Source organism: Homo sapiens, chromosome 7 (genome assembly GCF_000001405.40).
Source record: "Homo sapiens chromosome 7, GRCh38.p14 Primary Assembly".
Taxonomy (NCBI): domain Eukaryota; kingdom Metazoa; phylum Chordata; class Mammalia; order Primates; family Hominidae; genus Homo; species Homo sapiens.
In genome coordinates, this window is record NC_000007.14 from 5,412,425 (window position 1) to 5,429,978 (window position 17,554).

At 58.6% G+C, this 17,554-nt stretch overlaps 1 protein-coding gene and 3 long non-coding RNA genes across 19 annotated transcripts in view, besides 3 other annotated features; 2 read left to right on the forward strand and 2 right to left on the reverse strand.

Moving 5' to 3' along the window:
* Positions 1–11,410, reverse strand: part of TNRC18 (trinucleotide repeat containing 18) — a 117,024-nt gene extending 105,614 nt beyond the window's left edge. For 7 of the 16 annotated variants that reach the window (XM_017012732.2, XM_047420980.1, XM_017012730.2 and 4 more), the window contains exon 1: positions 8,636–9,506. In XM_017012732.2, coding sequence (XP_016868221.1) covers positions 8,636–8,822 — 187 coding nt within the window. In that variant the 5' untranslated portion in view covers positions 8,823–9,506. Of the gene's footprint in view, positions 1–5,915; positions 6,505–8,635; positions 9,507–9,985; positions 10,618–11,016 lie in introns of those variants that run through there. The other 9 variants (NM_001080495.3, XM_017012728.3, XM_017012737.3 and 6 more) reach the window with 7 other exon arrangements.
* Positions 6,194–6,943: an enhancer, noted in NCBI's record as "H3K27ac-H3K4me1 hESC enhancer chr7:5458249-5458998 (GRCh37/hg19 assembly coordinates)". NCBI's record gives its function as "activates a minimal SCP1, AML or CMV promoter by ChIP-STARR-seq in naive and primed H9 embryonic stem cells {active_cell/tissue: H9 hESC(naive and primed)}" and the evidence as "EXISTENCE:reporter gene assay evidence [ECO:0000049][PMID:30033119]".
* On the forward strand, positions 6,847–10,702 carry TNRC18-AS1 (TNRC18 antisense RNA 1). Its single transcript, NR_199005.1, has 2 exons — positions 6,847–7,844; positions 10,369–10,702. It is a non-coding gene; the product is annotated as a TNRC18 antisense RNA 1 (long non-coding RNA).
* Positions 11,898–11,987: a silencer, noted in NCBI's record as "silent region_17914". NCBI's record gives its function as "represses an Ori minimal core promoter by ATAC-STARR-seq in GM12878 lymphoblastoid cells {active_cell/tissue: GM12878}" and the evidence as "EXISTENCE:reporter gene assay evidence [ECO:0000049][PMID:35858748]".
* Positions 13,853–16,503, reverse strand: LINC02983 (long intergenic non-protein coding RNA 2983). The gene has a single exon (NR_171035.1). It is a non-coding gene; the product is annotated as a long intergenic non-protein coding RNA 2983 (long non-coding RNA).
* Positions 15,188–15,937: an enhancer, noted in NCBI's record as "H3K27ac-H3K4me1 hESC enhancer chr7:5467243-5467992 (GRCh37/hg19 assembly coordinates)". NCBI's record gives its function as "activates a minimal SCP1, AML or CMV promoter by ChIP-STARR-seq in naive H9 embryonic stem cells {active_cell/tissue: H9 hESC(naive)}" and the evidence as "EXISTENCE:reporter gene assay evidence [ECO:0000049][PMID:30033119]".
* Positions 15,760–17,212, forward strand: LINC03073 (long intergenic non-protein coding RNA 3073). The gene has a single exon (NR_186649.1). It is a non-coding gene; the product is annotated as a long intergenic non-protein coding RNA 3073 (long non-coding RNA).
* The last annotated feature ends 342 nt before the right edge of the window (positions 17,213–17,554 follow it).

The following is a 17,554-nucleotide window of genomic DNA, read 5'->3' on the forward strand; positions in this document are numbered from 1 at the left end:
ATTTAGCCGGGAGTGGTGGCAGGCGTGTGTAATCTCAGCTACTTGGGAGGCTGAGGCAGGAGAATCGCTTGAACCCGGGAGGTGGAGGTTGCAGTGGGCTGAGATCGCGCCACCGCACCCCAGCCTGGGAGACAGAGCGAGACACTGTCTCAAAAAAATAAAATAAAATAAAATAAAAATAAAAAAATAAAAACAAACCTCACAACCACCAAATGAACTCATTCACTCTAATGAACCCATTTTATAGATGAAAAAATTGAGGTTTAGAAAGTCATCACATGCCCTTTAACTGGAGAAACAACATCCACACCTCAGCTTGGAGGCCATCCTGCCTCTAGATGGAGCAGTGTTCTATCTGGGGATTACCAGGAGCTTCCAGGGACCCCCAAAATGCTCAGAAATGTGTCAAATGGTTGGTGAAGATGTGGGAAGTCAGGGTTTCCCCCCAGGCTGAGGGTCCACCATTTTGCTTATCCCCTGAAAAAACCTCACATGCAATGCTGAGTACACTGGTGGCCTGGGAGAGGTGACACTTGAGTGGCTCCCACCTAGTGGCCTAGACTTCCTCCCAAGTCACATGCCAGGCCTCTGTGGGCAGCAGAGGTGGTAAGGACCCTGGCCCTGACTGACCACTAACCAGGGCTCCCAGCAGGCCCTGGGGAGGCCCGAGACCTGTGCTGAGAACAGCTCCAGCCCATCCCGTAAAAAGCTGAGCTGGGATGCCTGAAAAGCCGGGGCAAGGGTCTGGCTGGAGGACAAGGCTACAGTACATGAGAGGGTGGGAGGAGCTGGGCCAGACCACAGACTGGTTCATGCCGGGGAGCCAAGAGCAGCCCCCGCCAGCCACATCCAAAACAAGAATGCCCAGTCCCCAGCCTGTCCTCAAATCTGCCCCTCCCCATCCCTCCACAAGTGGTTCGCACCCAAGCCATTGAGTTCTCCTCCCTCCTTCCCTCCTCTCCCCATCCGTCTTACCTGCCCAACCTCCAAAGGGCCATAACCCTGGACACCTCCAGCCTCCCTCCCTGGTAACCAACACCTCCTAATTACCTCCTGCTTCTCTCCTCGTCTACCAGACTGTCTCTGGCTAGCAACCCAGCCTCGTTTCTTTTATGTTTTGACACAGGGTCTCACTCTGTTGCCCAGACCACTGTGAGTGCAGTGGTGCGACCACAACTCACTGCAGCCTGGATCTCTGGGGCTCAAGCAATCCTCCCATCTCAGACTCCCAAGTAGCTGGGATTTACAGGCATTCGCCACCATGCCTAACTAGTTTTTTAAACATTTTGTAAAGACAAGGTCTTGCTATGTTGCCCAGACTTCTCTCCTAACTCCTGGCCTCAAGCGATCCACCCGCCTAGGCCTCCCAAAGTGGTGGGATTACAGGCATGAGCCACCATGCCCAGCCCCTAGTTTTTCTTTAAATGCTTATTTTGAAATCATTTCCAATTCAGAGAAAAGTTTGAAATAGTACAATGAATGGTCCTATGACCTTCACCAGATCCAACAACTGTGAACTGCTCTCACTGTCTTATTTGTTTTTTTTGAGATGGAGTCTCATTCTGTCTCCCAGGCTGGAGTGCAGTGGCACGATCTCGGCTCACTGCAACCTCCCAGGTTCAAGTGATTCTCCTGCCTCAGCCTCCCAAGTAGCTGGGATTACAGGTGCCCTCCACCACACCCAGCTAATTTCTGTATTTTTAGTAGAGATGGGATTTCACCATGTTGGCCAGGCTGGTCTCGAACTCCTGACCTCAGGTGATCCGCCCACCTCAGACTCCCAAAGTGCCGGGATTACAGGCATGAACCCCGTGCCCAGCCTCACTGTCTTTTTTGATATGATACTTGATGTACCATCGTCTCCCATAAATATATATATTATATATGTATATTTATAGATATAAAATAGATATTTTTTCTTTTCCTGAACCATTCCGAGGACAAGTTGTAGACTCTATGTCCCTTGCCCGTAAACATTTCAGTATTCTTTCTTTTGTTTTTTTTTTGAGACGGAGTCTCACTCTGTCGCCCAGGCTGGAGTGCAATGGCGCGATCTCGGCTCACTGCAAACTCCGCCTCCCAGGTTCACGCCATTCTCCTGCCTCAGCCTCCAGAGTAGCTGGGACTGCAGGCACCCGCCACCACGCCCGGCTATTTTTTTGTATTTTTAGTAGAGACGGGGTTTCACCATGTTATCCAGGATGGTCTCGATCTCCTGACCTCGTGATCCACCCGCCTCAGCCTCCCAAAGTACTGGGATTACAGGCGTGAGCCACTGCGCCCGGCCCACATTTCAGTATTCTTATTTCCTAAGAACAAGGACATTCTCTTACAGAACCACACACAGTTATCCACTTCATAAAACCTAACAGTGATCTGATACTATCAACTAATCTACAGTCCATATTCCAGTTTTGTCAATTGTCCCAATGATGTTCTTTGTAGCAATTTCTTCCCTGATCCCAAGATCCAATAGAGAGCCATACATTGCCTTTAGCAGTTGCATTTTTCCAGTCTCTTTTAATCAGGAACAGTTCTCCGCCTTCCTCTGCCTTGCATGCCATTGACATTTTTTTAAGAGTCCAGACCAGTTCTGTGAAATGTCCCTCAATTTCAATTACTCCTTCCACTTAAAACCCTCCACTGCCTCCTCATTCCTCAGTTTAAAATTCCAAGACCTCATGACTGGCTTTCAGGGACCTGAAGGATCCCACCTCCCCCACATCCCCTCCCACCAGCTCCAGCCATTCTGCCAGCTCAGATACGCCAGGCTCTGACTTTTGTGTTCCGTCCACCTTCACCACACTTTTCTGCCCTTTGCATGCAGGAAAAAGGTCACCCCTCCAGATCAGTCGGGTGGGGGTGGGCTGTGCTGATACAGCCCCTCACCTCTCAGACCAGACCAGACCTTTACCATTTTGTTTACTGCGTGGTCTGTGTCCCTCTTTTTTTTTTTTTTTTTTTTTTTTTGAGATGGAGTCTGTCTCTGTCGCCCAGGCTGGAGTGCAGTGGCATGATCTTGGCTCACTGCAACCTCCGCCTCCCGTGTTCAAGTGATTCTCCTGCTTCAGCCTCCCCGAGTAGCTGGGATTACAGGCACCCGCCACCACACCCAGCCAATTTTTTTTATATTTTCAGTAGAGATGCTGTTTCGCCATGTTGGCCAGGCTGGTCTCGAACTCCTGACCTCAGGTGATCAGCCTGCCTAGGCCTCCCAAAGTGCTAGGATCACAGGCGTGAGCCACCGTGCCCAGCCTGCATAAGACTCCACGGTGTAGTTTTACATTTTTAAACATCAGATTACAAAACAATATGAGAAGCCCATCTCCAGGTGGTTGTCCAGGGAAAGTTGGCAACTTTCACTGTTGGGAAATTTTCACTTAAAAATAGGTCGAAGTTAAGCTGGGAGTGGTGGCTCACGCCTGTAATCCCAGCACTTTGGGAGGCCTAGGTGGGTGGATCACCTGAGGCCAGGAGTTCGAGACCAGCCTGGCCAACATGGCGAAACCCCATCTCTATTAAAAATACAAAAAAAAAAAATTGGCTGGGCGTGGTGGCAGGCGCCTGTAATCCCAGCTACTCGGGGAGGCTGAAGCAGAATTGCTTGAACCCAGGAGGTGGAGGTTGTGGTGAGCCTAGATCGTGCCACTGCACTCCAGCCTGGGCGACAGAGCAAGACTCTCTCGCAAAAAAAAAAAAAAAAAAATCAGCCAAGCGCGGTGGCTCAAGCCTGTAATCTCAGCACTTTGGGAGGCCGAGGCGGGTGGATCAAGAGGTCAGGAGATCGAGATCATCCCGGCTAACACGGTGAAACCCCGTCTGTACTAAAAGTACAAAAAAATTAGCCGGACATGGTGGCGGGCACCTGTAGTCCCAGCTACTCGGGAGGCTGAGGCAGGAGAATGGTGTGAACCCGGGAGGCAGAGCTTGCAGTGAGCCGAGATGGAGCCACTGCACTCCAGCCTGGGCGACAGAGCGAGACTCCGTCTCAAAAAAAGAAAAAAAAATTTGCTTAACCAAGCACAGTGGTGCTGGACTGTAGTCCTCGCTACTCGGGCGGCTGAGGCAGGATGATCTCTTGAGCCCAGGAGTTTGAGACCAGCTGGACAACATAGGGAGACCCTGTCTCTACAGAAAATTTTAAAATTAGGCCAGGCATGGTGGCTCATGCCTGTAATCCCAGCACTTTGGGAGGCCAAGGCAGGCGGATCACTTGAGGGCAGGAGTTTAAGACCAGCCTGGCCAACACGGTAAAACTCCGTCTCTACTAAAAATAAAAAAAATTAGCTGGGTGTCGCGGCACACACCTGTAATCCCAGCTACTCAGGAGGCTGAGGCAGGAGGATCTCCTGAGCCCAGGAGTTCGAGACCAGCTGGACAACATAGCAAGACCCCGTCTCTATAGAAAATTTTAAAATTAGCCAGGCATGGTGGTACATACCTGTAGTCCTAGCTACTCAAGATGCCAAGGCAGGAGGAGCCCAGGAGTTTGAGGCTGCAATGAGCTATAAACGCAATACTGCACTCATCCTGGTTGACAGAGTAAAACCCTGTCTCTTAAAAAAAAAATTTTTTTTTAAGTAACAAAATCAGCTGGGTGCAGTGGTGCACACCTGAAATCCCAGCACTTTGGGAGGCCAAGGCAGGAGGAGGCCAGGAGTTTGAGGCTGCAATGAGCTATAATTGCACCACTGCACTCCAGCCTGGGTGACAGAGTAAAACCCTGTCTCTAAAAAAAAAAAAATTTTAAGTAACAAAATCAGCTGGGCGCAGTGGTACACACCTGAAATCCCAGCACTTTGGGAGGCCAAGGCAGGAGGATTACTTGAGCCCAGGAGTTCAACACCAGCCGGGGCAACATAGCAAGACCCTACCTCTACTAAAAAATACAAAAACTTAGCAGGGCATGGTGACACATGCCTGTAGCTCTAGCTACTCGGGAGGCTGAGGTAGGAGGATGGACTCAGCCTGGGAGGTGGAGGTTGCAATGAGCTGAGATCACGCTATTGCATTCCAGCCTGGGTGACAGAGTAAAACCCTATCTCAAAAACAAAACAAACAAACAAACAAAAAACATTTCCTTCTCGGATTTGTGTGTTCACTCCCTGAATCCCCGGAAGAACATGAGCTCCAATGAGGGCAGAGACTTCTGTCTGTTGGGTTCACTGCCGCATTCCTGGGACCCGAGCGGTGCCTGGCACGCAGGAAGCACTTGGAAATTATTTGCTGAGTAAATGAGCAAGTGAGGAAAGAAGGAAAGCGCTGGGGTTGGGAGCTGAAGAACCAAGAGAGCCCCCTCCCCACCAAGTGGCCCTTCCAGATTCCAGAACCCTCCCAGGGCCTCCCTTGTCGCCTCTAACCAGAGAAAGAAGCCCCTTGCAAATCGTCCTTATCTCTCCATCACTCTGCCAGCGGTCTTCACTGATTAATCTTTCTAAATCAATCCCAGTAGGCTGACAGACTGGATTCCAGAGATGGATCTGATCAGACCCTGGAGAAGGCCCGTGGCCCCCTGTTGCCAAGCCAGAGTGCTAGCCAAGCCAAGCCCCTCCCTTGTTAGCCAAGCCTCCAGTGTTAGCCAAGCCAGAGTGCAGGGTCTCCCCACCCAGAACCCTGGGTCCCACCCTCTATTCATGTACCCCTCCAGGGCCAGCCTAGGGTGTGGGGGCAGGGAGAATAAACATCCAAGTACAAAATCCTACTAATAGCTCTTTAATTGCAGCCTGTGAGGACAACTGAGTCCAGGCCTCCCAAGCCCAGAGCACAGAGCCAAGCCCCAGGTGTTTGTCAGTTACATGCCCATCTCCCAGATCAGGCTGTGAATATTTTGTTCACAATGTAGCAAGGCTCAAGGTAATAGGAAACTTAAAAACCACCCTTCCCTGATCCCAAACCCCATTCATTCTTAAATTCACCTCCTCTTCTGCAGAGAAAGAGGCCAAACCCCTCCATCTTGACCCAAAAGGCAGAAACCAGCTCTTCCAGAGGACCTTCCACAGCAGATGGCTGTCAATACTAGCTTGGATGGGATTCCTCCCCGGGGATCTTTCTCCGAGGGCCCCTCCAGCTCTGAGCTCTCTCCAGGGAACCTCCCTCGGCCTAGGAGGGGCTTTATAAGCCCTGACAGCGCTCATCCACGTCCGCAGAGCCCAACCTTAATGTGCCTCTCCCTAGCTGGGTGACCCCAAGCAAGTGGCTCAACCGCTCAGGACTTCCCGGTACAAAAATAAACAAATAAAGATGGGACTGATAACGCTGGCAAGACCTAAGGTGCCGACAGCCAAGGAAGAGAGGGAGGTGCGTCAGAAGGGAAAATGTAGCACCTGCACCCCACAAAGAAAACGCGGGAGGGGGAGGATGTGCTGGCTTGAGGAATGTGTAATCCGGCCCAGCCCCAAGCAGAGAGTGAATGGGAGCTGCTCCCACCTCGTGGCTAATGGGATTAGCACGGGCTTGGCTCTGGGCGTTGGCCTGGGGTCCGAGGTCTCCTTGCGGCTACTCGAAGTGGGGGAGGGGGACAGCCAGAACCAGCACCGGCCCCCACCTTTCCCTCCCGGGTGAGCACGGGGTTCAAGGGGGCGGCAGCTGTCCTCCTGCTGTTTCCTCCCCGACCTCAGCCTCGGCGTGCAGAAGTCAGGCAGCTCCCAGCGAGCGCAGAAGGTGCGCAGAGGCAGGGCTCCGAGGCTACCTCCCGCTGGGCTTCCGAGGCTGGTGGCTTGGCCTTCCCTCCACCTCAGCCTCACCATCCAGCAAATGGGCATTAGGCCGTCTGACTGCTGCGTCAGATTAGGCGCGGCCCTGGCACTGTGCATGCATGCATGAGTAGTAGCTTGTTTTCACCGCTTCGCATTAGGGCACTTTGCCTTGCCAGGCCGGAGCCAGATCGCAGGCGGGGAGTGCGCGACGCCCCTTCCCAGCCTCGAAAAAGCCAAGCGCAGGCCCAGCCAGCCAGAGAGACCCGGGTACCGATTCCCAGGCTTGGGGGGGGCCCCCCTGCCACCACTCCGGGCTGGACCAAATGACCCAAAAGACACACGCATGCACACACACACACATCACGGTGGACTTGTGGGGAGCGCAAAAGGGGACAGCTCAGATGGTCTCTGTACCCCAGGGCCGCCCCCCAAGTTCTTCCTCGGGGGTCCCCCGCGCCCCTCCCTCGCCACAACACGCCACTAGAGAACAAACCCTTGCCCCGGTCACAGACCCCGGGCGGAATACGCCCCCAGCTCCGGAGGGACACAAGCAGGTCCGGGGGCCAAGACCTGGTTCTTGCGCCCCGGCTGGCGGGGATCTCCGAGCTCCCGGCCCCCGGGCGCGCGCCCCTCCCCCGCCCGGCGCCTCACAAAGGCCCTTTGTCCCGCCGAGCCCCCGGGACTCCAGTTCCTGAAAAGTTCCAGGAGAAAAATCAAAGAGAGAGCAAAATCGGCGAGCTCCGCCGAGCGGGCGGGGCAAGGCCGAGGTGGCAGCTCCTGAGAGACCCCAAGGAAGAGGGGAGCATCGAGGGCTACTCTGGAAATTGCAAAAATCCGAAACTGCAATTCGAACAGGAGGTGGATTTTTTTTTTTTTTTAAGTCGAGACTTGGGACGCCAAGCACAAAAGCCAGGGACAGCCCGGGAAGGAGGGACCAGGTGTCCTGGGGCGGCCGCCGGGCAGGTCTGGAGGTCCCCGAGTCTCCTTCCCACCCCTCTGGCTGCAGCGGCCGCGGACTGACTGGAGGGAGAGTCTCCCGCCCCGGCGCAGCGCCCGCCCGGGTACCGTCCCCACCGCGCCTGGGCAGCCCGTCTCGGGAAATGGTGGAGGCCGCGGGACCTTCTCGGCCACCTCCTCCAGCAGCTCGATGTGAGACCCAGGGTTTTCCCCTCCGCCGCCTGGGCCCTGCCCGACCCGCTCTCTTCTTTCCCCCTAGGTTCGGGACCGCGATGGTCCGGTTTCGGTGTCCCTGCCGCACCTCCGCACCCTCTTTCGCGCTGGAAAACAAGGGGTCCCCGAGGGCCGGGGTCGCCGCCCTCCTACCGGGGTGCAGGTTCCCAGGGCCGCCGTTCTCCCGGGGAAGAAAGGGGCATCCCGCCCGCCCCGAGGCCAGGGTCCCAAGGCTGGGGTCACCGTACTCCCGCATCCCCCGGCGTACTCCCGCATCCCCCGGCGCTCGGTAACTGCCAGGGACCCGGCTCGGCGCGAGTGGTGGAGCTGGGAACAGAACCCAGGAGGGCCCACGAGCGCCAAAAGTAGCGTTTGCCAAGAAAAAGATTCGAGCTCGGGGAGCGGGTGTCTCGCGGGGTGCGGGGGCCGGTTTGTTCTTTTCTCGCCCAGATTTTGAAAACTCCAGCCCAGGCTCGTGCCGCCGGGGCCCCGGGGATTGGAATCGCCCCCGGTGGCTCGGGCTACCACACCGGCTTTCGGCTCACGAGGGCCAAGCACGCTACGGAAAAGGTAGCCGAGCCGCGCGACACTCTCCACCGCCTTGGCTCCGGGACCAGGAGTTTCCCAGCCCTGGGAGCCGAGTCTGCCCGCACCCCCGTGGCCGACCGAAGGAGAGTCGCCGAGCCCCGGCCGCGAGTGCACAGGAGGACCCGGCCGAGTGGATCTCCCTGGGAAGACAGGAGGGGACGGGCACGGCGCGGGGCACTTACCCGGGTGCGGATGGAGATTCAGGCCGGCCATGTACTTCCCGGGCGGCAGCGGGCCGGGCAAGCCCGAGGCGGGCAAGCGTCCGGCAGTGGCCGCGCCCACGCGGTGGCTGTCCATGGCCAGGCCGGACAGCAGCGGCGGCGGGGGACCGTGCACGGACCGCTGGGGCCCGAAGTCTCGGCCATCCATCCTCCGCGGGAGTGCCGCGATCAGCCCCCCACCCGGCCCGCAGGCCTAGCTCAGTGGGACCTAAAAGTTCGGCCTCGGCGTAGTCCCAGAGTCCTCGGGCGGCGGGGGCTCCGCGGCGTGCATGGCGGCGGCCAGCGGGGCTTGCGCTCGGCGGCGGGCCCGCGGCCCGGGGCGCACAGGCGGCCGGCGGTGGGGCCCCTCCGGGCGGCCAGGCGGAGCTGCGCGAGGCGGCGCACACGGCGTCTTGGCGGGGAGGAGACAGGCCGCGGAAGAAATAGAAAGGGGGAAAGAAAAAAGGGAAAAAAAAATAAAGTAACAAGTTTCAGAAAGTCGCCTCGCCCTTCAGGATCGGGGGGTGCCGACTGAGTGGCCAGAAATGAAATCGGGAGTAGCCCCTTTCCACTGAAAAATGAAATCCAAACTCCTTCCGCCGGCGGCTTCAGGCTCCCGGGACCTGGCTCGGAAAAGTGACCGGCGGCGGTGGCGCGCTGCGCCCCAGCCCGGACTCTGCCTCGGCGGCTGCCGGGTCCTCCCGAAACCGGGGAGGGCTCCTCGGCTGCGCCCAGACGGCGTAAATACAAACCTCCTATTTTATTCCTAGGCGTCAAATGCTCCGGGGTTTAAAACCGTGAAGCCTTGCCACAAACGGTCCGAAGTGTCTCCCAAAACACTCTGGCACTATCTGATCCGCAAAGTTTAATATTTAACCTTTTGGAGACCTCGCCTCCCTTTTCCGAGTTTGGTTTTTCCTGAGCTCGCCTTGAACCGCCGACGGAATGGTGTTTTTCTGGGGGTGGGAGGAGGGAGGGTCCAAAGCGGGTTTATTATTTTTAAAGAGGCTCGTGGTCCCCCCCCTTTCTCCCCCCGGGGGGCACTGTGAGTCCCAGAGCTCGAGTCCGAGGACCCGAGACGTGGCATTCTCGCCTAAGGACTGGAAAGAATCCTACAAAACAAGCTTTGGTTTCATTTTCCAACGCCCTGGCCTGAGCTCCTGCAGCCCGAGGACCTGGCCTGGCGTGGGGGATTTGGGGGATGTCAAGAGGGGAAGGAAAGGGATCAAGGGTCTCGCTCCTACTCTAGCTTCCCCCCCCACAACCACCCCCCAAAATAACCTACAAAGAAAGCCTTTGCAACGCGGGCCTGCCAAGGGGCGCCTCCCCCACCTTTGGGTAAATCCCCCTGTAGTTCCAGGTTAAAGCTGTTTGTTTAAAAGATTTGTCCTTTGCCGATTCTCGTGAGGATGGGAGGGGGTCTTGGAGCCCACCCTTCCCTCGATCTCTGTCTGCAGCAGCTCACATTCCTGATTCCGGGAGGCCTGGGCTCTCTTAAGAGAAGCCGATCACGCCAAAGCCACCGGCTCCCGGGTGCCCGCCCGGCGCCCTGCACTCCGCGCCCAGCCCCCCGAGCAGGAGACCCCCTCGGCTGCAAAACCCCTAGCCAAACCCGCCGGCCTTCCTCTCCAGCCTCCCTCCCCAACTTTGCTAAGGGTGCCTATTTTAACCCGGTTTTGGTTACAAACACCCCCTCCCTCCCTCTCTCCCATCAGGCTCTGGTTACCAGATTCGCGTTTACTTTGGAAAAATCTAAGATCGCCACATCCGAGGATACATGTCTTAAGGAGGCGATGAGCTTCCCGTGATTTTTTTTTGTAAGAGATTCTTTGGGTAGCTTTCTTTAAAAGCCAGCGCCTCGTAGTATGCCCAGGCGCCCCAGTTTGGGGAAGTCGGGGTGAAGCCCCCTGGAACACCCTCACACTGGCAAAGAAGCTGCCTCGGCTATCTGCGGGCTCCGCTGCGTTCTCCTTACTTTTCTCCCCCTCTTAAATGGAGTTAAAATGGCTGAATTCCGGCTTTTAATTAAAAACAGCCTATAATCGAAAACGTCTCGGCGTCCCGGGCTCCCCCGCCGCCTGCTGGGAACCGAGAGAGGAACCGCCGCCCCTCGGCCGGGCCAGGAGGGCCGGAGCGGGGCTGGGGGCTCGCGTGGGTGCCCGGGGCCCAGCAGCCCACCCCCACCCCTCCCGGGGCGCCCCCTCCCCGCCGGCCCTGGTCCCCGATTCTGCAATCCGGAGCCAGACAGTAGCGGGGATCCCCCCCCGCGCACCCCGAGGGGCAGGCGTGGTTGGGGGGCGAGCTGGAGAAGTTTGGAGACCATCGCGCCCGGCCGGGGGCCGGCAGGCTGACCGGCGGCGTACCTGGCGCGGCTGGGTTCACGGCTCCAGGCTCCGGCGACAACGACTCCGGCGGCGGCCCCGGCTCCCGGCGCAGCTAGGCGCCCCTGCTGCCCGCCATCCCGCGGCCGCCGCTCCCCTCCGCCACCCGCAGCCGCCTCACACTTTTTGCCCGCCTTTCCTTTTTTTGGTAGAAAACCGCTCCCCGGGCCGAGCGCTCGGCGCGCCAACTCCTCCGCCCTCCCGCGGCCCGGCTCCCGCAGCCCCCGGAAAAGCCAGCTTTCCTCCCGCCGAGCTCCCCGCTTTTTAATAAAATCCAGGTAGCGCCGGTTTAAAGAATCCCAAATCTCCATATACAGCCCGGGATTGGAAAAGGTACATTACACAACCCCCCTTTCAAGTTCCTCTCGCAGGATCTAAAAAAAAAAAAAAAAAGGCAGCGGAGGGGGGTGGTTGGAGGGGGTTGGGGGAGGGGGAGCCCTCTCCGGCAAAGAAACACGCATTGTTCCCGGGTGCCCGCCCCCCCCCCCAGCCCGGCCCCCGGCCGCCGCGCATTGGCCGCGCGCGCCGCCAATCACGCGCATGTAAACACCTTGGCCCACAGCCATTCCTATAAAACCAATTACGGACCTAGGGGCTCCAGCAGTTTCCAGGCTCCCCTCGGCGGGGCTGAATGATCAAAACTGGTGGTGAGAATTTTTCCGGGCCGTTTCTAGGCAGCCCTCCCCCTCCACCAGCTCGGACCCCCCCCTCCCTCCTTTCTCCTTCTCCTCCCTTTTCCTTCTCCCCTCCCCCAGCGTCTGGGCTGAGTGATCAAAATAGAGGAAGATGGTTGTCGCCGCAATCCAGGGCTTTGCAAGGCGCGGTTTAATGGGCCGCCTGTCAGCTTCCTGCTCGCAGGAGGAGGTGACAAGCCAAGCGAGCCGGAGAGGGCCTGGGGCCCGGCTGGCTGCACCCCGCACTCCGGGCCCCGGCCCCCGGCCTCCCCTGGGGTGCGCTTCTAGTACGCGCGGTGGAGACGCCGAAACAGACAAGGGCTGCTTTTTCCCTTGTTTTTTTTTTCTTCCTTTTAAAACAAAGCAGCGATTCATTCCCTCTCCCCCAGCAGCGCGGTCGGGTGGGATGGGCAGGCGAGAAGGCCGTTTTCCTAGCACTGACCTACGGGTCCCTCCCTGAAACGCGGTGTCAGATGGTTACTGATTAATATTTTGGAGAGGCCGCGGCGGCAGGCAGCGGGTGAGTCTCTAATCTTCTAAAAGGGGTTCCTATAGAAACGCGGAGCGGGGCGCGCCCCCCGCTCGGCCCAGGCCCGGGCTGCGGCGCTTCGCACAGCGCGCCCCTCCCCAAAGCCCCTCTTTGCGTGGGCGCTCCCCTCTCCTTCCCCCCCCGCCAACAAAAAATCAGAGCAGAAAAAAGGATTAGATCGGCTGAGCGCGAACTGAATCCCTCTCGATTCTGACATTTCAGCCTATTAGCATTTCTCCACGGAGCCTTCTGAAACCTATTAAAGTGTAATATTAAAAACCTCTTGGCTGGGGGCCTCTCTCGCCTTCCATCCGCCGCGCCCCCTCCAGGGAGGGCGAGACCGGGAAAAAAATAAAATCTGTTGAGCTCAGAGGAAGTAGCCGCCAAGCCCAAAAAGTGCTTGGCTGGCCACGGCGGCCGTAGGGGGAAGGGAGCCCCAATCCCCCAGACTTTGTACTTTTATTTTGCGCTTTCAGCAAAATCCTTTCTGGGTTGAGTAGCCGTGAGCTGCCCGCGGCCGACCTACCTGACCGGGGGCGCAGGGAGTGCGGACCACGCCAGCAGGACTGTCCTGGGGGCCCCCGCACCCTCTCTCTGCAGCCCCCCGAGCCCGGCTAGGCATTACGTACCCTGGAAAGGAAGCTTGGAGGGGCAGAAATCCTTCCAATGCTGCCTCGAAGAGCAACTGCAGTGATAAGATTTTAATTAAAACAAGAGAAGCCCGCTCTTTCGCCCCGCGCTGCGGACTCAGCGTTTTCGCATTGCCCGTTCTGTTTTTTTTAAATCAATTTTTAAGGCAACTTTTTGGGAGGGGGGAAAAATGAGCGAGTTAGTGCCCATTCGTTCTATTTTCTTTTCTCCACTTTTAGAAAAAAGTGGGGGGAGGCTTCGAGAACGAACGGGGGGGTGTCTAATTTAATTCCAGGATAAATTTGAGGAAAAAAGTTCAGCCTCTTGAGGGCAGTTTCAAGTTGCCCTTCCTGGAGCTTCCTGCGTTAGTTTCTAGGCTGCCCTCTTTTGGAAGCTGTAGCTCCGCTGGGGAGGAGGGAGGAGTGAGAAGGAAAGAAAGGAACAAAAATAGCCGGAGCCGAGGGGAACAAGCCACGGTGTCCGCGTTTGGAGCTGGGCGTGCGGGTCTCAGTGGCGGCCTCGGCATTCGGGGCGGCGGGAGGCGCCCGGTGCATCCCCGGGACGGCCAGGAGCAAAGACGGAGAGGAGAGGGGGGTTAGAGAAAGGAGGTATTGTGTCTGTGTGCCTTAGGGGAGGAGGGGACTGCAGGAATCGAATAAACGCAGTCGAGCTGCGCGGGGCTGCTGGAAGCCCAGGCGGGGGAAGGGGGCCGTGTGTGGGGGCGCAGAGCGCCCTTGAGCCTTACGCAGAGGTCTTGTGTGTTCCTAGTTAAGCCCTCCCACGCCCGAGGCCCCATCGCTTCCTCTCCACCCTCTTTACCCACCAATATTCCAAGCCCAGATCCTAATTCCCCACCGCATTACCCCGCCCTGGATTTGGGGAATGTTTTTCTTTATTTTAATATAGCTCAAGGAAAAAATACGTATATCTTGAGAGATTTGGGGTGGGGAAAACAAAAGCCTTGCGGAGTAGAAAAAACAAAGGCTTATTTTTATAAATGTTTAATGTTTTCACCCCCTGGATGCTCCGAGACGCCGTAATTGTGACGGCGGGGTACGTGTGCCATAAATCATTTAGTTGCTAATAAAAATTCTGCCTGTTTGCCCTGGATTTGCCAATGGCGTTTGCATTTTTCAAGTGTGCGCCTCGGCGGTGTGACGAACCCAGCCGGTATTTCATTAGGGCCGCGGTTCGGGGCAGAGGAGGTCCCCTCCCCGCCTGGGCTTTGTGCGCCCAGCCCCCTTGCACCGGCCCTTCCATACCTGCCCCCGGCACCCACTCCATATTTGCGCGGCCCTGCAGCCACCGGAGTCCGGCCGGGGAGCAGGGCCTGGGGACGCGGTGGTGGTGGTGGCTCCCAGTTCCTGGCCACCAGGCGGGGCGGCCAGGACGCATCCTGCCCACGCGGTTTTCCAGGGCTGCCGCGTGCTTGGGGGCGCGGGCGGGCCACGCGGAGAGGCCACCTGCCCGGGCCAATCTGTACGCTCCGTGATCTTCGCCCGCTCCCCGGCCCCGCGCCCTGGTGTCCCTGCAGTCGCTGAGTAAACAGCGACTGGGAGCCATCTTGGGGCGGAGGACCGATCCCAAGCGAAGTAGTAGTGGCTGCAGCCCGGGTGCCCCCATTCGTAAAGGGGAGCCTCTAGGACATCCCTAACTAGGCTTCAGGGTCCAGGGAAACGCCCTCCCCAGTATGGCGGGCCACATTGAAATGTAAAAACCAGGCCTGGGCGCTGTGGCCATAGGGCACAGGCCATAGGCCACCAGGTCCAGCCGCCATCTTCCGCGCCCCACCCCCATTCCATCCCCTCCCCCTCCCCACCCCCTCATACTTTTGTTTACCCAGCGGGATAGGTGGCCAAAAACTGTGGACGCAATTGAGTGAAAGTGCGTGTGTGTGTGTGTGTGTGTGTGTGTGCGCGCGCGCGCGCGCGTGTCTGTGTGTGTGTGTGTTTGACTGGGTAGAAAATCGGCTGGGGGCTGGGGGGGTCTTCCTTGTAGCCCTAAGCCGCAGCTGCGGGAGAAGCTGCCCTGGCTAGCCGAGGCCCGGCCCAGCGTGCTTCTCCGCGGCCAGCCTGGGCCACCGGAGCCGAGGCCTTCCCTGTGTTCCTAGGCCGCTGGCTCCGGCCTCCGCTCCCTGGACGCCTCCCGACTGACAAAATTCTCCGTCTTTGTTTTAAAACCAAAGGACAGGCCAACCTTGAGCCCGGCCGTCACCCCTGTCGCGCTTTTGTTGGCGCAGGCTCGGCCCCCTACACCGGGCTGGTGCAGCTCCCGCGATCAGACGGTCTCTCTCAATTCGGCGTTGAACCCGGTTCTTCCCAAATTCTGGTATTGCTGGCCGCTTGGACACGTTCTCCCCTTATCCCTCCCCCAGCGGGGAAAGAAAAAGCCAGGATCCTTTCCTTGGCGCGGCCACCCGAGCCACTCCACCCGTCGCGCCAACCGCCTTTCCAGGTGGGGACCAAAGCCCCCACTCTCCGCTGGCATCTCATTGAAGGGCACCCCCCCGAGGGATTGCCAGCTTCTGCTGCCAGCTGAGAGGCCGTGTGGCTGGGCGTCTTAAGCGCCGGTTTCCGCAGGTCCCGTGTCTGGCGGGCGCGGCTAAAACCCGGAGAGGCTGTGCCCGGGAAAGCCACGTTCGCCGTCCCCTCGCTGCGACAGGCCCAGCCGCGATACAGCGCCAAGTCTAGGTCGGGCCAACCCAGCCAGGAGCTGCCCGGACCTGCCTGAAAGACCAGGGACGCGGCGCCAGCGCCCCACACCCCACCGAGACCAGGGCGCAAGGCGGGCAGAATTCGGACTGATGCGCCAGGCCCAGCCCCGATGGATTCCAGCTCCTCTCGGCCCCGCCTCCGGCCCTGGCCTCTTCCTCCAGCCGGGGTCGGGTCCTCCACTCCACTGTTTGGCTGGGAAAGGACCGAGACGCGCTCAGTGCACAGGGGGCCGGCTGCGGCCATAAATCTCCGGGCGGGCCCTCCTTCCCGCTGCTCACGCCGGGGTGCTCCGGGCCGGTCTCGTGTCCCGGGCCACGCCGCGCACCCTGCTCACCCCATCACGGCCTGGGGACCCGGAGACTGCGCAGGGAACCACGCCAGGAGCTTCTCCGTTCACCAAAGAGAGGGAACGGCCTCGTTCCTCGGTGTCAACACCATCCATCTCTGAGGGCGCTGGACCCTGAGGTGGCCCGAGCTTCACAGGATCACCGCCTTGGGGTAGGGGCGCCCGGGCCTGGCATTTCCTCCTAGGAAGGCTCGGTGAGACTGGGATGGGCATGCGGCTCTCCGCTCGAGCCCAACTCCGGTGCCACCTGCACCACGGAGGGGTGACCCCAGGGTCAGGGTCAGAGCGGCTTCTCAGAATTCAGCTTGCCACCTCTCCGCGGACCCTGCCTTCATCTCGTGCCTCCTCAGAGCCCTCTGCGGGCGCATGAAGGGCCTTTTTTTTTTTTTTTTTTTTTTTTTTTGGCACAGGTGGACCAACGGGGGGTGTGACTGTGGGCACCGTGCGCGGAGGCGGAGGCTCATCTGGTTCCCACCCTCCGTGCCGCTGGATGCCCCAGGATTTTCTCCAACCGGGGTCCCGGCTTGGAGCCCTCCTTGGTGCGAGCTTTGGCTCAGCAATGGGGAAAGCGGGAATGGGTCTCGCCCTTGTGGCTGCCTGGTGGAAGCGGCGGTTTTGACACACGAATAGTCGTGGGGAGCAGATCCAGAGAGGGCGCATTTGCAATAATAACGCTTAGTTTATCTCTGCCAGAGGGGCGGGAACAGGCCTTCGCGCTGGTGTCTTACATCAGCCAAGCAAACCATGGGCGCGATTGGAGCCAACCACCTCCAGCGGGGTTTTGCTCCAGACTTAAGGTGCACGGAAACCGGAGCATTCAGCCCTTCATGGATGCCTCCCGAAAACCTCACCATGCCAGTGACACGACTGCAAACGGCGGGTGGCACATGCCGGGGGCTTGGGATGGGAGGGTTTGGAAACCTCGCTCCAAGGACGCCCTCAGCCAAGGAGCTTCGGCTCCTTCCTAGAATTTCTAGAAGCACTTTTGGAGGGACCGAGGGCTTCCGGCCGGGCCCAGAGGAATTTGAGCGCTTGCCCGGGCAGGCAGAAGCGCAGCCTGGGAGTGGAGAGGCTGCTGGGCCACATTCCGGCCCAGCTTCCCCCGCTAGGCCCCAGCCCTGCCGCGGCGCCCCAGGAAGCACCTCCGAAAACAAAGCGCTGTGGTTTCAGCCCAAGGTTAAAGTCCACCGCGAGCGTGTTTTTTCCCCCCTCCAGAATCTAAGAGCGATAGCGTTTCTCCAAATAAACCGCCAATAAATCAGCTCCCGGGGGCGCCTGCTGAAGAGCTCTGGTGACCTTGGGGGATGGTTTTTCTGCCTGACCCGTCTGAGCACAGGCTTTGGGGAGGAGGGGGCAGTGTCAGCCCTACCCCTCCAGAGAGACGCGGAAGAGGGAATGGCCAAGGGCATTCGTGGGTGATTACAGCAGTACGTGTGTACCCAGAGGAGATGGGAGAGGCTTGGAATGGGGGAAAGGGGCGACTGTGGTTATCCGGGGGCCTGTAGTGCGCGGTCAGGAGGCGTTTGTGATTGCGAGGAGGGCTGCTTGCTGTCGGTTCAACGATTGCTGGAGCGCCGGCGGTGTCGGCACAGGTCTAGGCATGGGGAAAGCACCACTGGGGACAGAC